Source organism: Homo sapiens, chromosome 4 (assembly GCF_000001405.40).
Source record: "Homo sapiens chromosome 4, GRCh38.p14 Primary Assembly".
Lineage (NCBI taxonomy): Eukaryota > Metazoa > Chordata > Mammalia > Primates > Hominidae > Homo > Homo sapiens.
This window is the reverse complement of record NC_000004.12, coordinates 85,938,211-85,964,426: the sequence shown is the minus strand read 5'-3', so window position 1 is coordinate 85,964,426 and position 26,216 is coordinate 85,938,211. Positions and strand designations below refer to the sequence as shown.

General features: G+C 36.6%; 1 protein-coding gene across 8 annotated transcripts in view; it reads right to left on the bottom strand.

Annotated features, from left to right (window-relative positions):
• Positions 1 to 26,216, bottom strand: part of ARHGAP24 (Rho GTPase activating protein 24) — a 527,517-nt gene that overhangs the window by 38,240 nt on the left and 463,061 nt on the right. For 7 of the 8 annotated variants that reach the window (NM_001025616.3, XM_024454238.2, XM_047416235.1 and 4 more), the window contains one exon: positions 22,154 to 22,361. The exons of the other annotated variant lie outside the window; for it this stretch is intronic. In NM_001025616.3, coding sequence (NP_001020787.2) covers positions 22,154 to 22,361 — 208 coding nt within the window. The remainder of the gene's footprint in view (positions 1 to 22,153; positions 22,362 to 26,216) is intronic. 8 annotated transcript variants of the gene reach the window in all.

Here is a 26,216-nt window from a genome sequence, read left to right as displayed (position 1 = left end):
ATCACTGCATCAGACCTTTCCACTGAATTTTTAGATGTTTCATACATATTTGAACTTCATGTGAACAAAATTGACTGGCAACAACAGAAAAATCTCCCCTTGTGTAAAATTGTTTCTCTTTTAGCATTTTTTTTTCACAGTGGATGGCCTCACCATTTACACAAACAAGCAAGAAACCTAGAAGTCAAACTAAATTTGACTGTCCCCAGGACTCTAAATCTAACAGTGATTGGTGATTCTCTGACTGAGCAGTATGTTGGAATTACCTGGGAAGTTTAAAAAGAAATACAAATGCCTGGTTCATATATATTCTGACATAACAGCTTATGAATCCATACTTTCTTTGGCAGTCTTACTGACAATGCTTAAGTTCAAGTTTATATTACTCACCTCCACTAACACAATACCATATTAACTGGTCTTCCTGATATCAAGCCTGTCCTCCTAGCACATGAATACATACCTAACTAACCTGCACGTTGTGCACATGTACCCTAAAACTTAAAGTATAATAAAAAAAAGTTGAAAAAAAACATATATAAGTGGTAATCATCAGTACTAAATATAAATAACAAACAAAATGAATTGTTGTATAGCTTTTGAATACGATATTTGAATGCAAAGGGCAATTGTTTAAGCATAAATAAACAAATATGTATCCCACAAAAAACACTTATTTTATAAATTAGTCATTAGAGTTGTCATTTAGTTTGAATTAATATGTTTGAGAGCATCAATTCACTTTAGAATAATGTGCCTATGTAAATTAAAAATTTAGACTAAAGAATAAAAATAAATTCTGACATTTTCTATTATAGTACCAAGGTGTTTTAACCAAAAAAGAAAGGTTAGCAGGATCGAGACACTTATAAGGCTTAATGTAGAACATTCAGAAAAGTTTCCTTAAAGCAATAATTACATCAGAATAAAACTCTTTTAAACAGGCTATTTTGTACAACATATGCATTCAGTTCCAATAATAACAAAACCTAATTAAAACCTTAAGTGCTGTCAGTTACAAAATAAATCAACACAGTTATTAAAATGACTCAGTATGTCCCTTCAGCTTTACTGATTTTAGACCCAAGATTCAATCTTATATCCAAATTTAACTTAGAAGTAACATTCAAATGCACACAATACATCTCATACTGCAAATGACACTAGTATTTCCCAAACTTACAAAAAAACCCATTAACTTTCTCCCAAAGTGATTAAATCTAAAGTCAATGAGCCCACAAAGACTTTTCTATTAAACTAAGATTCTAGTCATATCAATGATCTATATAATTATTTAGAACAAGTATTGACATTTGAAAGTAAACAATGATAAAGATATGATAGTTTGCAAACTACAGAGATTCTATTGTAAATGTGTGTACATACACATATTACACACACATAAATGTACATACATACAGATACATATATATTTTGTTCTTTGTAGAATTATTTTAAACATATCCAATCAGTTTTATGGTATGAAAAAAAAAATCAAAGCTCCTGTGGGATGTTGTTCTCTTCTCAGTGTCAGTAGATCTTCATTACATTGATTTTTAATTGTCCCAGGAGAAAGCTAAAGCCTTGAGGTCCCACAGAGTATCTGTAGTTACCAGTGGACAAAGTAGTTAGTTTGCTTAAGACTTTTAATAAACATGGGCATTCTAGATCTAGATTGGGAGTCATAATGAAGTAACATCCACACATTAACTCCTTCTCTGACTACTCTGTGGAACATGACTTCCTAAATTCACAAAGTATAACATAAATACTAAGGAATGCAAGAATGATTTAAAAGATTGGTAGATATTGCCAATTCAGGTGACCTATTTTCAGGTGGATATAACCTACTCACTGTAAGAGACACAACAAGAAAACACATTTGTAGAAATTTTAATGTTACACTTAACAAATAGCACCTATACTATATACTATAATATCCACCATACAATAGATTACACGACTAGTTTGAGAGAGGTGAGCTTCTTTCTCACCTCACATTTCTCCCAGGAATGACTCAGAAATAAAAAGAATGGAATGAAATAATGCACAATCTCTAGGTGCACTATAATGATGCAGTTATCTCATTAGATTCTATAGATAATGAGTTTTGATTTTTTGCTAAGCTGGGTACACTATTTTCCTAACCTTTGATTCCTGATACACAAACACTTAATAGTATTTTTTCATTGAGAGTTTACATAGCTGTTCCAATTTTCATGTCTTTCCATTATTAGTAAATGTATTAATGTACGCCTGAGACTTCATCACACAGCCCTTTCTTGCTTCAGTCGGACCTAGGGCTTGAAGCACAATGGGTGTAATTTCAGTTTCACATGGTCTTAAAAGTTTTGGCAAACTGTTAATGAACTGACATAGCAAAAATAGAGAAGTTTTGGCTGTACTTAGTTACTTCACCATTGTATTCTGCCTGCCTACATGTTTTTCCCTTCGCTAAGCTCTGCAGATGGAGTTTCAGAAGAAACAAAGGAAATGTAATCTTCATAATACATTCAACAATTTTTCTCATAATCGGAGAGACTTTAGATTATGTAACCAAGGACTTCCCAAGAGAAGTATTATCGGTGTTTTCATGCTGAGGGGTACATTTATGCTTAAATATGTGTGTGTGTGTATGCACGTGTGCATATGTGTGTGTATATTTTCTAACAGCATTTAAAAGCCATATTATATATACTTTAATATTTCCATTTTTAAATAAAAAATAAAATATGGCCAAACATCGCAAATAATTTTCTAGCTAATGAAGGCTAGAAAGTAACTTATTAATGTGTCCCCAACAATGACTTTACTGCATGTCACTCATTTCCTGCCATATTCACCACAAGTTTAGAGAATTATGATTATCTAATTCCGGGATGAACAATGAAAAAACACATATATTCTTTTCTAGAAAATATATTTTCTTCCAATAAAAATAAATAAAGTAAACAAATCCTTGTGCTTCATGCAAGAAATGAGTAACTAGAAGCCTAGTTTTACGCAGCTGAATCTCTAACTCATAGTGTAAGAGGAATATTAAAAAGATTTTCTTGTATATCCAGTTGAGTCAACAAGTTATTGCCAAAATCATTCAAGTCCACACAAAACTTGTCCCTTTTACTTCAACAATCTTTTATTCCAACATGGAAGTATTCTTAGTGTACTGGACTGGACGATACCACCTTAGTTTATTAATATGTATGTATAAATTGAGGGGAACACATAAAAAGCTTTAAAAGAATCCAGTTGTGTCTTTCCTATGGCTCTCACATTAAAATGCAGTCGTGTGCTTTGCTAGAAGGGATCCTTTGTCACTACATGTCAGATGTTTCTTATATTAGTGTTTTCTGTTTGGACTACTTTGTAAGAGGGGTCAGAGTGAGGAAAGAGAGTGATGAAACAAATTTATTGAGAAGAGGCAAGTTTTTTGTTTTATTCTGGTTTGGTTCTTGTTATTATTGCTTTGTTATAAATCAAAATCTAGTTTACTTTGGAAGTATAGTGCATCGATATTCATGACAGCATTTCAGGAGCAGAAAACAAATAAAGGTACTGGTCCTGACTTAGAACTGTGGTTTTTATGAAATTTTGAACCCATTCATAGATAGGACTATGACTTTGTACACTGACCCAGGCAGGCATTTGGCCTTAGATGACAAAAATTAAATTCCAACAAAAGTTTAGAAATTATTTTGCAACATGATAATTTTCAAGTTTCCTAAATTCTAATCTATAGAAACAAGCACTTGAGTTTTCTACTTCCTGAGATATCAGAAATATGGGTATTTTTTCATTCAACAATGACATTCAAAATACACTCCTAGTGTTGACTTATTCATCGAATATTTATTGAATGCCTACATTATATCAGACATTATTCTAGGCATTAGAGATAAAAAAGATAATTAAGATTCACAAAATCCTCCACCTTCTTTGAGTTCATCTTCTAGTTCTATGTGTTTTACTTTATGAACACAGAGTTTTCAATGAATATCCACAGTGATGTCCTCTTGGGTATGTAAATGTGTGTTCCCATGATATCACAGACATTTATCTCAACACTAAACTGATATTCCCAGAACATTACTATTAATTCCTTAGAGACTCTGTAACCATTTCCTTAACACGGATTATCAAAAGAATCAGGAAAATAAAATATTTTAAAACCGCCTTCTAAAGAGTAACTTGAATTCTTTTAAAACTTTTTATCTGTTCCCCTCAATTTATATATACATATTAATGATAAGGGTGGTATCATCAAGTGCAATATGTTAAGAATACTTCTATGTTGGAATATAAGATTGTTGAAGTATTCAGAGAAGGAACAAGTTTTGTGCGGACTTGATTGATTTTGGCAACAACTTGCTGACTTAACTGGATACACCAGAAAATCCTTTTAATTTCTGTCTTACACTATGAGTTAGAGATTCAGTAACTAAGCCTCTGGTTACTTTTTAGAATGGCTCATAAAAAGTAAAAAATAGCCATAATCACATGAAAAAAAGGTTGAACATCACTAGTCACTTGGAAATTGCATGTCAAAAACTAAAATAAAAGGCCATTTCATATTCACTAGAATGGGTAGAATAAAAAGTCATAACCCTCATACATTGCTGTTGGAAATATCAGATGGTTCCGCCTTTTTGGAAAGCAGTTTAACAGTTCCTCAAATGTTAAACATAGATATGACCCAGCAATTCCACTTCTAGGAATAGTCCCAAAGGAAATTAAACATATCTCTACACAAAAGCTTGTACACGAATCACGGAAATCTTATTGATAATAGCCAAAAAGTAGAAACAACGTCAATGTCTACCAACTGACGGATGAATAAACAAAATGTAGTATATCCACAAAATGAAATTCAACTCTTCAATAAAAGGGAAAAACTACTGATATATGTTATGACATGGATGTGTCAGAGGCATGTGAACCATAGCAACTCCATCTAGAATAGGGGCTGGGTAAAACGAGGCTGCAAGTTACTGGACTGCATTCCCAGATGGTTAAGGCATTCTAAGTCACAGGATAAGATATGAGAGGTCAGCACAAGATCCAGGTCATAAAGACCCTGCTGATGAAACAGGTTGTAGTAAAGAGGCCAACCAAACCCCCTCAAAACCAACATGGCAATGAGACTGACCTCTGGTCATCCTCACTGCTACGCTCCCACCAGCGCCATGACAGTTTACAGATGCCATGGCAATGTCAGGAAGTTACCCTATATGGTCTAAAAAGGGGAGGCATGAATAATCCATCGCTTGTTTAGCATATCATCAAGAAATAACCATAAAAATCAGCAACCAGCAGCCGTCGGGGCTGCTCTGTCTATGGAGTGGCCATTCTTTTTATTCCATTACTTTCCTAATAAACTTGCTGTCACTTTACTCTACGGACTCGCCCTGAATCCTTTCTTGCAGGAGATCCAAGAACCCTCTGGACCCTTTTCCCATAACAGATGAACCTCAAAAACATTATGTTAAGTGAAAGCTGGATGCAAAAGAACAGTGAATGATTCCATTTATAAGAATTTCCAGAAAAGGAAAAATCTATAGAGACAGAAATCAGATTAGTGGTTGCCTGGGAAGGAAGAGGAGCTGAGGATAACAGTAAATGGGCATAAGAAATCTTATTGGGGTGATAAAAATGTTCTCAAATTGATTTATGGTAATGGTTGCATGACTTGGTAAATTTGCTAAAAATCACTAGGATTGTACCCTTGAAATGAGTGAATTATGAAATGTAAAACATGATTCCTTTTATTTCAAAAACATGACTTTAAGGGATATGCTTTCATGCAAGAAAATTTACAATCTGAGTCATAAAACACAGAAAAAACACACTTTCATAATATAAAATCTTATAGGTATCTTACTTATTTTCAGTAGGAATTATCTTAGAGGTTTCAAACCATGAATGAAGACTTCCTGGATTAAACATACTGAAGAGTTTCTGGTGAAATACTAGTCTCTGTATCACATAGATTCAAGCATATTACTTTTCCTTATACCATAAAATGTTAGTGACAATCATCAATACCATCATTATCCCCATCATCATACTCACAATGACAATAAAAAGTGCCCCATAACATGCCAGGGCCTGTGCAATTTCACTTACATATTCCAGGTGTTTTTGTTCCATTTTGTCTTATTTTTAAGTGAATGAATACAACAACCCTGTGAGATTAGACATTATGATTTCTATTTTATATGAGGAAATTAGTTTTGAGAAGTTAGGTAACGAGTTTCGGTTCATTAACATGGGTAGTAAGTGGCAGATTTAGTCCCACATTTTTCTGTCATGGAAGCCTGAACTTTTAACTTCCACACTACGTTCTTGCAAATAAGTAGACAAACACCAACTGATAGATATGCCCAATAATGAAAAACTTATTGGTTAATTGGGCACTTTTATTTATAACCCCATTGGGTTTCAGTGGAAGTGAGCCAAAATTCTGCAAAGATAAATTGAAAGGAAAGCAAAGCTCATACTCCCAATTCTAGATGCATGGGCTTTTTAGATATATCACAGAGTAAAACATGATGCAACATGACAGATTTCTAGTTTACACCCTGTCCCACATAAAATATTTAGTTAATACCCATTCATGGAGGTATTTCTCACATATGAGATATTTTTCCTTAAAGCCTGTTATTTTTCAGACTTTGGTGTGTTTATAAAGCAGTTTCATGGAACTCTTGTGAGTTATTCTTTGTTCAAATTAGAGAAGAAGCCAAGCATTTAAAGGAAAGAGGCCTCCCAGTGTTAGCAAAGAGTGACCTGACTGTATTTCCCAAAGTGTGGGTTATTCCAAGTAATTTAAGGTGCCACAGAAACAGGATATTGACTTCAAATAACTTAACAGAAATACTAATTTCTAAATTTCAATTCTCCTGATTACATCAAAGAGGAAGCATCAGTTGGGAAAAAGAGGCATGTTAAAATGGTACCAGCACATGCCAATCTCCATTTTCATCAAATCAACAGAGGGCCTTAGGGTCAGCATCTTCAGAAAGAAGCTGTGTCCAGGGACATTTAATAACATGTTCTTGTCATTGTGCTTATGTTACATTGACCTCGTGTTTATGCAAGTAGTGCTGGTTTTCAAAGAGCAATAATATATAAATTCCCTTTTACCCCAAAACTGATAAAGAAAACTGTGAATACATTTAAAGAAAAATATCAGTAAACCTAGTGCAGGCGTTATATGGAAATGGCTAAAATCATGAGGGTGAGAGACAGGACTAGCTGGATTTCCTAGGCTGACTAAGAATCCCTAAGCATAGCTGGGAAGGTGACTGCATCCACCTTTAAACAAGCGGCTTGCAACTTAGCTCACACCTGACCAATCAGATAGTAAAGAAAGCTCACTAAAATACTAATTAGGCAAAAACAGGAGGTAAAGAAATAGCCAATCATCTACCGCCTGAGAGCACAGCGGGAGGGACTATGATCGGGATATAAACCCAGGCATTTGAGCCAGCAACAGCTACCCTCTTTGGGTCCCCTCCCTTTGTATGGGAGCTCTGTTTTCACTCTATTAAATCTTGCAACTGCACTCTCTTCTGGTCCGTGTTTGTTAGGGCTGGAGCTGAGTTTTCACTCGCCATCCACCACTGCTTTTTGCTGCCTGCCGCTGACTTCCACCCTGGCTGGGTGTCGGCTGTGCTCCTGATTCAGCGAGGCGTCCATTGCCCCTCCCGATCGGGCTAAAGGCTTGCCATTGTTCTGCATCGCTAAGTGGGTTCCTCCTAATGGAGCTGAACACTAGTCACTGGGTTCCACGGTTCTCTTCCATGACCCACGGCTTCTAATAGAGCTATGACCCACGGCTTCTAATAGAGCTATAACACTGACTGCATGGACCAAGATTCCATTCCTTGGAATCCGTGAGGCCAAGAACCCCAGGTCAGAGAGCACAAGGCTTGCCACCATCTTCAAAGTGGCCCGCCACCATTTTGGAAGCGGCCCACCTCCATCTTGGGAGCTCTGGGAGCAAGAACCCCCGGGTAACAAGGGTAGTATGTGAATGAGAGAAGTTTGAGAAATACTTAAAGACAATAGTTATCAAATTTTGTCACACCATCATACCTTTAAGAAATGCATCAAAAAATAGGAACGTTAAGAGTTACTGTAAATAAACAGCTATTCAGGATTTTAGGGGCTAGCCCCTCTCCTTGACTTCAGAAAATCATTTAGTGTGCTGAAAATAGGTAGCCAGTTTACCATTTACACACACAGGGCTTGCCTTAGGCAAATTCCTGGGAGTCAGTTCTTTGCTTTTCCAACTCTTTAAGAATGTAAATTCCTCCCTTTTACTGGTTCACATGCCCTCAAGCTACCATTTGCTTTCTCCACTTTCTTCCATCAAGCCCTGCCCTAAGATCTTTTATTCACACTATGATATTGAGGCTCTATAACTGTACAGTTTGCTACTGAAATCTTTAGAGTTTGAGTTTTTGCATGGAATAAAGTGTAAAGAGGGAGGGGTGTATCTTTCAGGCTGTCTTGAAACTTCAGGCCCTATTCAGCAGGAAGGAAATCATGTATTTTACACATCAACTCTATACCCCAGAAAATAGTTTATCTCACAATAGCATATGGTTTGCCTAGCCCAGTCAGAACTGATATGTTGCTCCCAGTAATGGTGTGATGTTGATTCTGCTGCTATCCTTTCCCCATTTCATATATAAGAAACAGAGTTACATCAATTCTAATGATCAATGTCCTTTACCATACACTCCTGCAGCTGATAGTCTAGCTAGTATTTCCCAAGTTATGGTTTTAGGACCATGCATATAAGAATTACCTGGGAGATGAATGCCATGTGGAGATGGGGGCAGAGGTTGGAGTTATGTAGCTACAAGCCAAGGAACGACAAGGGTTGCTGGCAAATATCGGAATTTAAGAGACAGGCATGAAACAGATACTTCCCTAAATCCTTCAGAGAGAGCATGGCTCTGCTGACATCTTGATTTGGATTTTCAGCTTCCAGAAATATGAGATAATAAGTTACAGTTTTTGTTTTGTTTTGTTTTGTTTTTAGCTACCCAGTTTGCAATGCTTTTTTATGGCAACCCTAGGAAAATAATACAGGGATCATGGAAAACTCCAGAAGGAAGGGGAATTGGGTGAATTTGTTAGGCTCTTCCAACTGGAAAGGAGCACATGCTGAGGGTCGGGGTGGGGGGTAGGCGGGGGGAGCATGGGCTTATTCAAATAGTCATGTATAGGGACTTGGATTTTAAAACAGAAAAGGGACAGGTTCTGCTGTTTAGAAAGAGATCTGGGCTCTGGGCCGAGAGCAGCCCTTCTACTACTGAACAGCAGCAGCAAAGCCATGAGAATGTGTAGCACTGCCTCAGTACAAACACTCAAACATTTTATTATTTATTTATTTATTTATTTTTGAGACAGAGTTTCACTCTTTTTGCCCAGGCTGGAGTGCAATGGCACAATCTCGGCTCACCGCAACCTCCGCCTCCTGGGTTCAAGTGATTCTCCTGCCTCAGCCTCCTGAGGAGCTGGGATTACAGGCATGCGCCACCACACCCAGCTAATTTTTTGTATTTTTTAGTAGAGACAGGGTTTCTCCATGTTGGCCAGGCTGGTCTTGAACTCCCGACCTCAGGTGATACACCCGCCTTGGCCTCCCAAAGTGCTGGGATTACAGGCGTGAGACACTGCACCCGGCCAAACATTTTAAATACTAAGCTAGAACAAATTAAAACAAGCAAGGATCTTCCAATTTTAGTATATGTGCTGCCGAGCATTTTAAATACTAAGCTAGAACAAATTAAAACAAGCAAGGATCTTCCAATTTTAGTATATGTGCTGCCGAAGGGAGCACGAGCAAGGATCTTCATTTGTAAAACAAGTAGGTATTAGGATATTCTCTTGATAAATGTTTGGTGCATACTATACGCCAGCTGTTGTGCTCAGAGAGGGGTGTAGCATCAGGACAGGTAAGGATCCTGCCCTCAAGGAGCTTAAATTGGCATGGGGAAGGCAGATGATAAGCAGTAAAGAAACAAACAAACAAGATAACTACTAAAGGAGCTCAAATGCCTTGAAGGGAATAAACAGAGTAATCTTAGATAGAAGCTTCAGGAAGTTGAGGATTAAATGAAATAATCAGGATAGTATCCAGCACAAGGTAGGTTATTATTGATAAAGTTACTATTCTTCCTTAAAGGATGAACATTTTATCTACTAACTACCTCCTGTATTTTAATTTGCAGCAGCAGATGATGGATTTTTCTGCCCTAAACAAAACATCTTTTTTTCTTGTTATGTTTGGGGCAGCTCATTTGTTTTAATGCAATGGTGGTCAAATGGGTTTTCCAATCTCTGATTGCAAAGTGCACATATGCTCTGTCAAAAACAAGAGCCTAGACTGAACAGACCAGATTTCAGAGCCCTCCACTGTTTCCTCTTCCTTTCCTCTGATCCCTGTAACCAACTCTCAGTCAGAGTGATCTCTGTTGCCTCACTGGCCCCAGCTTTTTGCCTTGGAGGACGGGCTTATTTACGTCTCCTTACAGCACCTTCTCCTGTCTTCCCTTGGAATCCAGATCTCATTCTCCCCTCCACATTGGACACTCTCCTCATTTCAACATCTTTATGCTTATAATAATTGCACTAGTGCCTATGAGTCTCCCTCTGCCCTGACCTCGTGCCTGCTCTCTGCCAGTCTCTCTGCTGGGTGCAGATGATAAATCCATGACTAAGAGGACAGGGTTCCTGCCTCTGGGCAGCACAGGCAGATTAAAAAAAAAAAAATCGCCTGTGGATTTACCATGCAGATTCCTAGGCATTCTCCAACCATTTAAATCAGAATGAGAGCAAGTGGGGTCTGGGTTTCTGAATCTTAAGGTATTTCTCTAAGTCATTCTTACACATACTGATACTGAAAAATCTCTCCTATGTCTGTAGTACTCCCTACTTTCAAGTTCACTTTTTCATAACTCAGTTCAGTAATTCCCAGACCTAAATTCCTTCCCAGAGGATTAAATTAAAATATGTCTGGCTTTTCTGTCTCCTAAATTTTAGGCTTTTATTTTTTCATTTTATCTCTGTGGACTTGCAGTTTATTTAGTCACCAAAACAAATTTGAAAAATAAGTGAAAGGGGAGAATAGCAGAAAGAGGAACAAGGGAAGTGTGAACTGAGTATGTGGGTGGGCAGCTGGGGGACCTGAAACAGCAGTTGTTTTACAGGATTCTTGGACAGAATGTGTAAAATTACTGGCTTCATGAAGCCTCTGTCCTTGCTCCTGAACACTGTGTTGTTAAGAGCGTATTCTGTTGCCCAGCAGTTAATGCTAGGATGGTGACCACACTGCCATTCTTGACCCTACCTTCCCAACGCTTCCAAAATGTATCTTCTTGAACAGCTGATACCATCTGGAGGGCTTTGGTAACAAAATAATATTCAATATCTAATTTGATTTTACACATTCTAGATTTCATTTTTGTCCCCTCAAAACTTGGAAGTTTAATATAAAAAGTTATGTTTTAATTTGTTTTCATTTCTAAATAGAAAGAATAAAGACAAGAATGGTTAGAAACTATGATATCTGTTTTCTTTTGTTTGTTTGTTTTTACAGTTGACAGGAACTGAAAGAATACAAATTCTTTCAGGTCAATGAGAACGCCCTTTCTCACAAAATTCACTGGCCAAGGAGTATGTGGGAATATGTCATAACCGTAGGAACAATGAGTCATGCCTATATAAAAGTATCAAACTTGAACTTCAGAACTGGAAAAAAGAGTATACAGTATAATTAAAGAAGAGCAGAAAGTACATGGCTTAATAAAGGCTCATCCATGCACTCACAACTACTCCAAATTCCAATAGCGTATGAATTTCAAATGTTTTTTTCTCACACCACCTTTTCTGTTTTTCCCTCACACAGGACAAAGTGTTTCTTCTCATTCAAATGTGAAATATTATCTTCCAAATCCCAAATGGATCCATAGCTTCCAAAGCACAGGCAGATGTATGAATACATGCTCTTCAGCTGAGGACAGATATGTGCAAAACATTGAAAACAAATGGGGCAGAATTAAAGAAACCAATGTACTGATACAATGAATTATTACATAGTCCTTAAGATCACACATTATATAGTCCTGAAGATCACACACAGTGAAAACTACTTAATGACATGGGAAAATGTCCATGATATAATGTGAAGGAGAAAAAGTAAGATATAAAAGCTGTATGGTTCCGATATATTTTATACATAGCTGAATTTTGACACATCTAAATCTCTGCTTATCTATTTATTTATCTGCTATGTATAGAAAGAGCTCTCTGGAGTGTCGAATTTTAAAATATTCATATTTCCTTCTTGTATTCTTCCATATTCTAAATTGTACATAAAACGTTATAATCAAAATATAACTTTAATAATATTGAAATTAAACTTAATAACTTTATGGTATTAAATTAAATAATATTCAAATTAAACTTAATAACTTTATGATATCAAATTAAACTTAATAACTTTATGATTTTTAAAATGCTATTTAAAAATTAAATTTCAGGGCTTAACATTAGAGGTACAATGTCAGTGACTAGAGATTGTCTTTGCAGAATACCTGTGGGAACTTCTTTCTAGGTTTTAATAAATATATTTTAACAAAGACAAAACCTGAATCTTATTGACTCTTTGGTGAGAAATAAGCATTATTAGAATCAACAGGGAAAATATTTATTCATTCTTACTCTTTAAAATGTTTCACAAGGAAACATTTCTGTATTTACAACTTAATATCTATTCAAAGCATTATGCACAGTCTGTATTTTTATCATTTTGAGGCTATGGACCCCAAACGGATCCATAGCTTCAAAAGCACAGGCATATTTAAGAACACAGATGCTCTTCAGAAGAGGGCAGATATGTACAAAACATTGAAAACAACAGGGGAAGGATTAAAGAACCTGGGTGAGATAAACTTGAACTAACGAACGTTCCCTGGCAGTTTGTCTCCACATCCCAATGACTAAAGTTGAGCTAGGCCTTGACCATGTGAAAGATCAAACAGCCAATTAACTAAAAAAAAAACACATAGGGGCAGAACACTCTGCTTGGACAAGTTTCTGAAAATAACCTCACCATCCTCTGGGAAATTATGGATTTTCTTTCCCCTCCCTGTGTATCTCACAATTACATTTTGCCACAAATATGTTATTCTCTTCTTATTACCTCACCATTCATGGATCTGGGAACCCCTTCTTTGAATCAGCAGAATCCAGGATTTTGCATATCTGCCACCGGAGACCAAGGGATTCAAGCTTGACAATTTATCAAAAGGATATTTCGGTTGCCAGAATGACCTTTTTAACATATAAATAAAATTATTTCATTTACTTGCTAAAAATATTTTGACAGATTTCCATTTCACTTAGAATAAGAACTAAATTTCTTATTATAGGCCAGGTGTGGTGGTGCACACCTGTTAATCCTAGCACTTTGGGAGGCCGAGGTGGGTGGATCACCTGAGGTCAGGAGTTCAAGACCAGCCTAGCCAACATGGCAAAACCCTGTCTCTACTAAAAAAAATAAAATACAAAAATTAGCCAGGTATGGTGGCATGCACCTGTAATCTCAGCCACTTGGGAGGCTGAGGCAGGAGAATCGCTTGAACCCAGGGACAGAGGTTGCAGTGAGCCAAGATTGCACCACTGCACTCTGGCCTGGGTGACAGAGGGAGACTCTTAAAAAAAAAAGAAAAAAGAAAAAAGAAGAAAAAGAAAAAATAAAAGTAAAAGAAAAAGAAAAAGAAAAAAAATTATTATAATCTGCCAAGTTATACAGAATCAACCTCCGTGGACACTATTCATCATCATTCACTGCATTCCTGTCACAGTGACCTCCTTCCTTTTATATTTAATTTTAATTTTTTATTTTTTAGAGAAAGGTCTTGCTCTGCCACCGAGGCTGAAGTGCCAGCAGTATGATCATAACTCATTGCAGCCTCAAACTCCTGGGCTCAAGTGATCCTCCTGCCTCAGCCTCCTGAGTTGCTAGGATTACCACTGTGCACCACCAAAGGCAGCTAGTTTTTTAATTTGATTTTTTTTTTGTAGAGACAGTCTCACTTTATTGTCCAGTCAGGTCTGGAACTCTTACCCTTAAGGGATCCTCCCACTTCGGCCTCCCAAAGTGCTGGGATTACAGGCATAAGCCACTGTGTCTTGCCCCCAGTGGCCTTCTTTATGTTCTTCAAGCAAGCTAAGCTGTTCCTGTCTCTAGGACTTTGCACTTGCTATTCTTCTACCTGCAACATGCCTGTTATACCTCCACCATATCATAGGTGTAACAGGCCTCTTGTCATTCGAATCTCAACTCAAATGTTACGTCCTCAAGAAGGAGACGGGTATCTCCACCACTTTACTCACTAGCATATTAGCATGTCACCCTCATTACTTTTCAAAATTATTTATATATTTGCTGTTTATTGTTTATCTGCCCATGACTTGTAAGGCAAACCCCAGAAGAGAATGCACCTTGTCTCTTTCATCCAGAACAGTGTCTAAGAAATAGTTAACATTCCAAAATTATTTGTTGAATGAGTGAATAAGGTAGATTGTTCACAGACGTGACTGTTGATAGTTTCTCTCATCCTTATATATCTATAACATTACTTCTATCAAGAAGTAGAGTCAGCTTTCTCCCCTTTTTAAGCTGAATTGGTCTTGTGATTTGCCATTGACCAAGAGTATGCAGTGGATGTGACATCGCACCAGTTCTGGGCCTACTCCTTAAAGGTCTTGTAGCTTCCACCCTTACTGTCTTTCAGTACTGAGCCACGGTGTAAAGAGTTTCAACCATCAGCTATAGGGAGGAGCCCTGAAGGATACAAGACTGAGAAGAGAAAACAAGAGACTCAATCAGCCATCGGCTATTCTAGCTAGCCCAACTTAGGCACCTGTCTTGTCAGTAAAGCTCTCTAGGATACTGCAGCTTCACTAAATTGTAGCATCCAACACCAAGTGGAACAGAGACAGAGCTTTTCTGCCGAGCATTGCCCACTTGCAGAATCTGAAAAAGTTGTTGTTTTAAACTAAAAACATTTGGATTGGGTTTGGTATGAAGCAATAGATACCTCGAACAGTCATTGATACTAGAAATTGGGTGTTGCTGCAACAAAAACCTAAAATATGTTTTGGGTATTAGTATTGGAACCAGGCAGAGTCTGCGCAGCCAGTGAGGAAACTATTAGTAAGAGCTTGACGAACAGGGGAAAAAAATTGCTATTAGAGGCTAGAGAAAGGTAAATGCTTATTAAACGGTGCTGGAAAAATTAACAAGACTATCGACTGCGGCAACTTGGAATGTAGAGAACATTCTTGGTGAACTTGTGGCCCTAGCTAAGGAGGTTTTCAGGCCAAATGCTGAATGTATTAATTGGCTTCTTTTATTTGTGCATATGTTAAGGTAGTACAAGAGCAACGTGACCTAAAAAAGAAACTGTTCCATTTTTAGAATTTTGAGAAACTCCATCAGCCCTAAGACAGTATCTCTAGCTGGTCAAAGAGTCTCGATGTAGGAAATGGCCATAGGAAAAAAAGACAAAATCCAGGGTGCTGACAAGAAAACATGGCTTAAAGGAAAAAGCCAAATGATGGGTATGAGTATACCACTCCTGTTAAGACTTCTGAAAGACCCAGCACCTCACAGAGTCTTCTGGCAATAGAAACCTTTTTTTATGATTTCTTCAGTCTGTTTATGCATTGGTGCGTTTTATGCAAAAATACATACATTTTATAAAAGAGATAATAAGGTCACATTTCATAAACTTTGGACAATATTTTATTGTCAGCCAATAGTTATCAAGAACTTGATTTGGAGATAACTGCTTACAGGGCACATCTGTTCTTACAGGTATCCTAAAATATATAAAATATTCCTCCATTCCCCTACATTAGCAAAAATCTGCTATAAGAACCAAATTATAAATGCCCATGGAGAAATAATTTTAATAAACATGTTTTGCAATAATGTCAGTGTCATATAATTAGCCATATATAAATATTAAAAGAGGGCACTGAAACTCATTATTGTCTCATGAAGTTCACTGTAGAGGATGTTGCTTATCCTATTATACGATATTCTATTATGAGGAGCCTATTGACATATTTCTTGCTAATTTTGGTACTAAAAATGAACATTTCTCCTACATAAGTCATTGTTTTTATGTTGTGGATGGGGCTGACCTACTTAACTATTGATCTGATTTTCTTTTTATAGAATAAGAGATGTAATAAGAGATGTAATAAGAATAAGAGATGTAATAGAATAAGAGATGTAGTAAGTATAGAATAAGAGATGTAGCTCCTCAGCAAAAAGTATATTTGCAGTCTTGAAATTTGTTTTCTGATCCTTGTTCTGAATTCATTTCTGTACCTCCACATATATTTTTTTCTCTCAGAGTAAATTTATGAATCCTTATAAACTATTTGTAATACTTTTTGTAAAAGGCATGGTTTTAATCAATTAATTGATCCTGTTTTCTTTTTCCATTTATCATTATGTAATTAAAATTGTCCTCAAATGTTAAAACTGTATAATATTTTCTTATATGAATGCACCATTATTTAATTAACCACACTCACATGGAGATAATAAATTGGTGTTCAGTTTTTACTGTTACACAATTTGTAATAAACAACTTTGCACTTAAGTTTGCTCTACATATCTGATTGTTTTCTGGGATTGAAATTGCCTGCATGAATGCTCCTGAAATATATTACCAAATTGCTTTAAAAAGACTACGACCGTTTGCATACTCACCATGTGTCTATCCATGTAGTATTCCTACACTTTCACAGAGAAATAACACTTGGTATGTACTATGGTCTAAATGCTTGTGTTCCCCCAAATTCATATGTTGACACTTGATCACCACTGTAATTGTATTAGGAGGTGAAGCCTTTGGGAGGTGATCAAGGCTCTGTCTTCATGAATAGGATTAATGCCCTTACAAAAGAGGTCCCAGACCTTAGCAGATAATTTATGGTCAAGTCTTCAAAAGCAATTGCAACAAAAACAAAAATTGACAAATGAGACCTAATTAAACTAGAGAACTTCTACACAGCAAAAGAAACTATCAAGGGAGTAAACAGACAACCTACAGAAAGGGATAAAATATTCACAAACTGTGCATCTGACAAAGGTCTGTTATCCAGAATCTATAAGGAACTTAAACAAGTCAACAAGCAAAAAACCAAATAAACAATTAAAAAAGGGGCAAAGGACATGAACAGATACTTCTCAAAAGAAGACATACAAGATGCCAACAAACATATGAAAAAATGCTCATCATCACCAATCATCAGAGAAATGCATATCAAAACCACAGTGAAATACCATCTCACACTAGTCAGAATAGCTTTTGTTAAAAAGTCAAAAAATAACAGATGTTGGTGAGGCCAAGGAGAAAAGGGAACACTTAATCACTGTTAATGGGAATGTAAATTAGTTCAGCCACTGTGGAGAGCAATTTGGAGATTTCTCAAGGAAGTGAGAGTTGAACCACTATTCAACCCAGCAGTCCCACTAATAGGTATATATCCAAAGGAAAAGAAATTATTCTAGCAAAAAGACACATACACCTATATGTTCATTTCAGTGCTATTCACAATAGTAAAGACATGAAATCAACCCAAGTGGCCATCGATGGTGGACTGGGTAAAGCAAAAGTGGTACATATATACCATGGAATACTATGCCACCATCAAAAAGAATGAAATAATGTCCTCTGCTGCAACATAGATGCAGCTGGAAACCATTATCCTAAGTGAACTAACGAAGAAACAGAAAACCAAATATCACAAGTTCTCACTTATAAGTGGGAACTAAACATTGGGTAAACATGGACATAAAAATGGGAACAACAGATACTGGGCATACAAGAGAGGAGAGGGAGAGAGGGTGCTAAGGGTTGAAATAAACTGCCTATTGGCGTACTACGCTCACTACTTGGGTTACAGATTCATTCCTCCTCCAAACCTCAGCATCATACAGTATACCTTTGTAACAAACCTGTACGCAATTCTAAATAAAAATGGAAAAAAGTAAAACAGAAGAAATATATTTACAATAGGAAAAAATATACATTTTAAATAAAAAGAAAACCTTAAAAATGAGGGAATATGATATGGTTTGGCTGTGTCCCAAATCTCATTTTGAATTGTAATTCCCACAATTCCCACATGTCACGGGAGGACCCTGGTGGGAGGTGGTTGAATCATGGGGCAGGTCTTTCTCATGCTGTTCTCATGATAGTGAATGAGTCTCATGAGATCTGATGGTTTTAAAAGCAAGAGTTTTCCCTGCATAAGCTCTCTCTTTTTGCCTGCCGCCATCCACATAAGATGCGACTTGCTCCTCCTTGCCTTCTGCCAGGATTGTGAGGCCTCCCCAGTCACGTGGAACTGTAAGTTATTAATTAAACCTTTTTCCTATATAAATTACCCAGTCTCAGATATGTCTTTATCAGCAGCATGAAAACAGACCAATACAGAATAGTAAATTATTTTTTACTTTATAAAGGAAAAGGACAAACTATACATTTATTTTAAATATTAAGGTCTCTAGTAATTTTAAAAGTGTTTCTTTTCATGTATAATTTTTTTTTTTTTTTTTTTTGAGGCTGAGTCTCGCCCTGTTGCCCAGGCTGGAGTGCAGTGGCCTGATCTCGGCTCACTGCAACCTCTGCCTCCCGGGTTCAAGAGATTCTCCTGCCTCTACCTTCCAAGCAGCTGGGATTACAGGTGCTTGCCACCATGCCTGGCTAATTTTTGTATTTTTAGTAGAGACAGTTTCAGCATGTTGGCCAGGCTGGTCTCAAACTCCTGACCTCATGATCCTCCCACCTTGGCCTCCCAAAGTGCTGGGATTATAGGCATGAGCCACCCCGCTCAGGCCTTTTCATATGTAACTTTTAAGAAGCACAATGTTATTTTATTTGTTTGTTATTTACACTCGTTGCACTATTTATTCTAAATACAAAGCAAACCTTGAGACATATAGAAACCTAGGCTTTGAGACCAGCCTGGCCAACATGGTGAAACTCCATCTCAACAAAATATACAAAAAATAGTCAGGCATGGTGGCACATGCCCGTAATCCCAGCTACTCGGGAGGCTGAGGCATGAGAATGGCTTGAACCAGTGAGGTGGACGTTGCAGTGAGCTGAGATCATGCTACTGCACTCCAGTGTGTGGCAACAGAGCAAGATTCTGTTTCGAAAAAAGAAAAAAGGTCGGGTGCGGTGGCTCACGCCTATAATCCCAGCACTTTGGGAGGCTGAGTCGGGTGGATCACCTGAGCTCGGCAGTTCGAGACCAGCCTGACCAACATGGAGAAACTCTGTCTCTAGTAAAAATACGAAATTAGCCAGGCATGTTGGCACATGCCTGTAGCCCAGCTACTCAGGAGGCTGAGGCAGGAGAATCGCTTGAACCCAGGAGGTGGAGGTTGTGGTGAGCCGAGATTGTGCCATTGCACTCCAGCCTGGGCAACAAGAATGAAACTCCATCTCAAAAAAAAGGAAGAAAAAAAAGAAAACTAAGCCATCTTTAATGATGATATTCATGTCATCACTGATAAAGTTCATCTTATAAAGGCTTTCGTTTGCATTCTGATTTCATGATTTTCATAATTATAACTAAACTGTGATTTGTTATTACCCACGGTCACGCGTTGGGCTTATATCTACAACTTATTAAATTTGGGTTTAGACATTTTTTAAAAAAGAGGCCCCAGACAAAGACTTCATGACTAAAACACCAAAGCAATGGCAACAAAACCCAAATTTGACAAATGGGATCTAATTAAACTAAAGAGCTTCTGCACAACAAAAGAAACTATCATCAGCGTGAACAGGCGACCTACAGAATGGGAGAAAATTTTTGCAATCTATCCATCTGACAAAGGGCTAATATCCAGAATCTACAAGGAACTTAAACAATTTTACAAGAAACAAACAACCACATCAAAAAGTGGGTGAAGGACATGACCAGACACTTCTCAAAAGTAGACAGTAGGCTATTTTTAATTTTCAAGCATCAGGATTACTCTTATCCAAAAACTCCAATGCTAAGAATTTATCCTAAGTAATCCAAAAATAGAAAGTATTTATGCAAAAGAAGACATTTATGTGGCCAACAAACATATGGAAAAAAGCTTATCCTCACTGGTCATTAGAGAAATGCAAATCAAAACCACAATGAGATACCATCTCACGCCAGTTAGAATGGCAATCATTAAAAAGTCAGGAAACAACAGATGCTGGAGAGGACGTAGAAAAATAGGAACACTTTTACACTGTTGGTGGGAATGTAAATTAGCTCAACCATTGTGGAAGACTGCGTGGTGATTCCTCAAGGATCTAGAACCAGAAATACTATTTGACCCAGCAATCCCATTACTGGGTATATACCCAAAGGATTATAAATCAGTCTTCTATAAAGATATATGCACACGTATGTTTATTGCAGCACTGTTCACAATAGCAAAGACTTGGAACCAACCCAAATGCCCATCAATGATATACTAGATAAAGAAAATGTGGCACATATACACCATGGAATACTATGCAGCCTTAAAAAAGGATGAGTTCATGTCCTTTGCAGCGACATGGATGAAGCTGGAAACCATCATTCTCAGCAAACTAACACAGGAACAAAAAACCAAACACCGCATGTTCTCACTCATAAGTGGGAGTTGCACAATGAGAATACATGGACACAGGGAGGGGAACATCACACACCAGGCCTGTTGTGGGGTGGGGGATTAGAGGAGGGATAACATTAGGAGAAATACCTAATTGTAGATGATGGGTTGATGGGTGCAGCAAACCACCATGGCACGTGTATACCTATGTAACAAACCTGCACGTTCTGCTCATGTATCCCAGAACTTAAAGAATAATAAAATAAAATAAAAAGAGGCCCCAGAGAGCTGCCTTGTACCTTCCACCATCTGAGGGCACAGTGAAAAGGTGCCATCTATGAACTGAGATCAAGTCCTCATCAGACACGGATTTGCCAGTGCCTTGACTGTTATTTTCCAGAATCCAGAATTTTCAGAAATAAATTTTGTTTATAAATCACTCCATTTATGATATTTTGTTATGACAGCCTGAATGGACTAAGACAGTAGGCTATTTTTAATTTTCAAGCATCAGGATTACTCTTATCCAAAAACTCCAATGCTGAGAATTTATCCTAAGTAATCCAAAAATAGAAAGTATTTATGCAAGTGTATATCCACTACAATAGTATTTATAATAATGAAAATGTCATAATGTAAATGTCTAACAATATTGAAATAGTTGTGAATAATATACCTGTAGAGTGAAATATTAGATATTTAAAAAGAGGCTTATAGAAGTTGTTAATGGTAAAATGTTAAGTTAAAATATATTAGAAAAAAGGGTATTTTTCAACTATTAATATGAAAACATTTCTGGTATATAATGTTGATAATATTAAGATAAAATTTTATTTTTTCTACTAAGCTTTCAAAAAGTAAAGAGAAGATTATTCACAAAATATTAGCCAGATTAACTCTTTATTAGTGGAGTTAGGAGTGCTTTATATTTTCTTCTCTGGGGCTGCCATTATTCTTTTATTTTCACCATGCTGTACTTCTCCTTGTTTCCCTGTAAAACTATTCTAGATTAAAGTAGAGCTATATATTTAAAAATATAATGCTTTTGTTATTATTGAAATACTTATTTTTAATTACATTGCCAATATTTCAATCTCTACTCATAATACTTTTAACATTACTTAACAGAAAGAATTTAAAAACATTAAGCAAGAGAAGAATCCTATTTTATAAATTCACTTTTTCCAGTGCAAAAGTTTAATACAGTTTTACTTTAGTACCAAAGAAGAAGAACAAAAAAAATGTTTTAAGATGGAAAGTATGGAAGAGAAAGATATCTAAGGTGCCCAATTTTTGACTTTGTAACTTAATAGAAACAATGCAAACTCCTGTGGCCAAATAATCTATGTTGTAAACTGTTACCACATCAATCAAGGTTATGCCTCCTCAGCTCACTGCATCCTGTCAGTTGAGTCTGAATTTCTCAGTGAAGATGGCTAGTAAAATTGTGACATCTACCTGTCAAATGATGGCTTCTCCCCACAGTCAAAGGCATCTTGGAGCTCCTTAACAAGATTAGCCTGGCCTGGCAGTCGAAAGAGACCCTCTTCTTTCAGCCCCCTTTGTCGGATAAAGTCCACGCACTGCTCCACCAACATCGGAGCCAGACGGTTCCCATATCTCTTCTCATAACGAACAGTATCCTCCAGTTTCTGTCCAAAAATGCCTTAAAAAAAAAGGATCACAGTAAACTTGGGAAATTTATCTCTTCCCACTTTGTTGTTGTTGTTGTTTTAATTCAATATAACAGAAAAACAAAGATTGGAATGCTAGCAAGCACTTAACATTCAGTATTTCACATTATTATACAATCAAATTCATTATATACAATTCCTCAAATGGTATGATTTACCTTATGCTGCCTGTTTCTTGTATTCTATGCTTAGCACAAACCAAAATAGAAACACTGAGTTTGAGATATCGATTTTGAAATAAGAAAAACTGTAATAAATGTAACTTGAGTTTGGGGTTTTCATTTATTTTTTTCCTTTTAGGAAGGGAATGGTATTCAATAGCTTAAAAGCAGAAATATGCTGCAGAAAATAGTCAAATTCTACCTTTATTACAGTTTTATATTTATGTCCAATTTGCATTTAAATCCTATTTCTTTTTTCCCCTTTTGTTTTTACTCAAGTTGTGATGTCATGACTGTAATCATGGTGATAAAACCAGGAAAAGAAACGCTGAATTTTCTCCCATATAAAATATTTCAGACAATGTTTGCTTGTCTTAAACTATTAACTTATTTGAAAGTGAAAAATGGAAATTTACAAAGCAGAGCACACTAGAAGTGGAGAGGTGGGTCACAGTGGCTTGCCCTAACAGGTAGGGTATTTTATCATGTACATTGTTTAGAATTGGCAGTACAGGGTGGCAATAAAAAGAAGGCCAAGTTTTAGTTAGATTTATTAATGATTTTACAACACCTACAAACCATACATTCCTTGGTGTATACACCTAGGCCAAAAACAGCCACTATTTCACCCTCAGTACTCCACTAATTAAGAGATAATACTTTTGAAATATATTAATATTAGGTAGTAGCTTGGTAAAAATTATCAACTTATGAGAAAGAGGGGAAAAAACAGCCAAAGCAGATGTGACTCCACTGTTCCCAGATGGAATGAATGTCATGAAATTATTTTAATGGTCTGAGTTTCATGAAAGGGGAAGAAAAGTAAGTGGTGCATGTTGAAATTAGGTAAGACTTCAGAATGTGTGGGGAATTATTTAACAGGCATTAGATTAAGGATTTGATCATACCAACAGATGCTTTGCCTCCCCACCTGTAAAATAATTTCTTTATGGACTCAGTAGTGCAAAACCGTCACATTTCAAGCAATAACGAATTGTTACCAAAGAAAATATTCTTAGCTCAGGTAGAAACAATAACAGGAAACACAACTATTCTACACCTGGTATCAAATTTAGCACTAATGAAATACATATATTCTATTTAGGAAATAATGTTTAGTAACTTAGTATCGATATTCAAGTATATAAAGCAGAATTAGAAATAGTGTTTTCTAAGGGCAATAAAGATTAGAGCAGATAACAGGTCTAGTTAGCTTGGTTTGTAGATTTTAGAACAAGTAGATCCTTGATAATGGTGTATCAAACATTATTCACTAACTCCAACAGACACTCACACCCCATTCTCCCTTGACATTTCCATTGTAGAAGCTGGAAAATTAAATACTTCTTCCATTTCCCTTGCAGTGGGGTGGTCATGTGGCATAGTCCTGTTCAATGTCAATAAGTCTTCTTGTAACCTTTAGGAAGACTTGCTTTTCTTGATGAAAAGGGAAGACATCTGTAATTGTCAGTCACTCCTTTTGCCTGTCTTCAACTTGGGCATGATACTGGCTCTTGTTACAGTCATCTTTGGTCCATTAGGCAACAATCACAAGGGAAAGGCTAAAAGATTAACAGACATGCTGAGGCTGAAAATTATTGAACTACTGATCCAAAACTGGCAGCACCTTTGTCCAGATAGCTTTTAATGTGAGAAAAACAAGCTGATGTGTGTTTAAGCCAGTTTTCTGTTCCTTCAGCAAAACAAAATTCTAATCCATTCAATGGTAGTAACAACTTTTGGAGATATTCTAGTGTTTTAATAATAAGGTTTACAAACTGGTTAGGTTGGAGAATATTGACCCTTTCTGTGGAGAGCTTTGAAAACAAACGTGATGCTTATTTGCCTCTACTGTTTGAACTCTATCCTGACAAAATTAAGTAAATAACCTTTTAAAAGACTTGTAGATCATTTAAGAAAATAATATGTTGACATTTGGGAATAAATTTTATGTATGTGTGATTTTTTTTTTTTTACTTTCGATTTTTGCTTTGGATTGATGAATATATTACCTAAGGGTTCTCTCCAAATCCAACAGAAAATCTACTAAGGATGTTGCAATTCAATGACCATGTGTGCTACAAACATGAACCAAACTTCCAATATTTGGGTTTGTACGGTAATGAAAAACAGTCAAACATTCTTTTCTCAAAGCTTTCGGGATTTTTTTTTCCCCAACAACCCAAGGAAGCGATGAAGAAAGGGATGTTTTGCTTTAGACGTGAATTCGGTTTCCTTTTTACTTTCTTGTACATGCAGGTTTGCCTTTATAATAAAATGAGAATTTACTTTAAAACTATAGTGAGAAACTTAAATTCATTATTTATTATATTCTGAGTCCCTCACAATATTCTCTCATCTTCATAAGAAACACATAAAGTAACTATCATTCTCCCTTTTATACATGGAAAATTGGGGCTCAGAGAGATGAAATAATTTGTCTGAGGTTAGTTACAGAGCACCAAGTGGCAGAATGGAAGTCCACATCCAGATTTATTTAGCTTTAAAATCTTTGCTTATTCCTGAATATCAGTCCTTTTCCTTTTTATTTAATCACAGTCATGAGTCCTCATTTTCTCATAATTAAAAATATTAGTACATTCTACAACTGAGAAAAATCATGTACATTTTTTGTGCTTTTAAAAAGTGATAATAGCTAAGCTGTACTTATGTATGCCAGGCATGTTACAGGCAGTTTACCTGCATTTCTCACATTTAAAACTCATAACATCCTGTGAGGTAGGCACCACCATTCCTTGCATTTTAAGGAGGAGGAGCTTGAAGCACAGAAAGGTCAAGTAACTTGCCAAATGTCACACAGCAGTAAATGGTGGAGCTAAGGCTTGTTCGAGGCGGTGGGATATCAGAGCCACTCAGTGGCTATTACAGAATACTGTGTAGTATGCACAATGGCTGAAAACAGCAATGGAGGAAGACACCTGCCATTTATTAGCTTTCTGACCTCAATTCCTCCCATCACATTAGGATAAATAATTTGTGCTGAGAAAATATAAATTGGGAATTGGGGGAGGTCAGAAAAAAAAAAAGAGAAGGAAAATACTCTGGAGCTTCAATGAGCATGCTGCCCCCCAAAGCAATTTCCTTTATATAAAGCTGATGCCTTTAATACAGCAGTATAATATATAAAAAAGTTTTAGGGCATGTAGACATGTACATATGATTTAAAATTCCTGTGGAAAAATGAATTTTCTGCTGTAGAACTGGTCTTGCAAAGAATGAGTAAAGAATTTTAATAGACGTGTACTCCCCATTCTGTAGCACTGGAAATAGAGTGTGCCAAACACTTCTGGCTTAAAATGGTAGATGTGGGTTGCCCTTCTGCATAAGAATGCTCCTTGGGAGGAAAGCTATTGATGGGAAAAATCATTTTAAAAAAACAGATTTATTTAAAAATTTCCTTGAGGGAGCAGTGAAACTTTAAATTTTAAATTAACATAAAAGCACAAAGGTCATGTGCTGCCCCCAGCCAGCAGCATGAAGAAAAGACACACTATTTACAATATTCCCTGGGATGTGGGTCATGCAAACAGTTCCAGCTATGTCCATTTAAACTCCCAGCAAGTTTTCACACACTCTGACAAAACCGTCCCCAGTATTTCTGGGCGGTGATGAATACCATGCCTACCTCCCCTCCCTGTGAAAGTA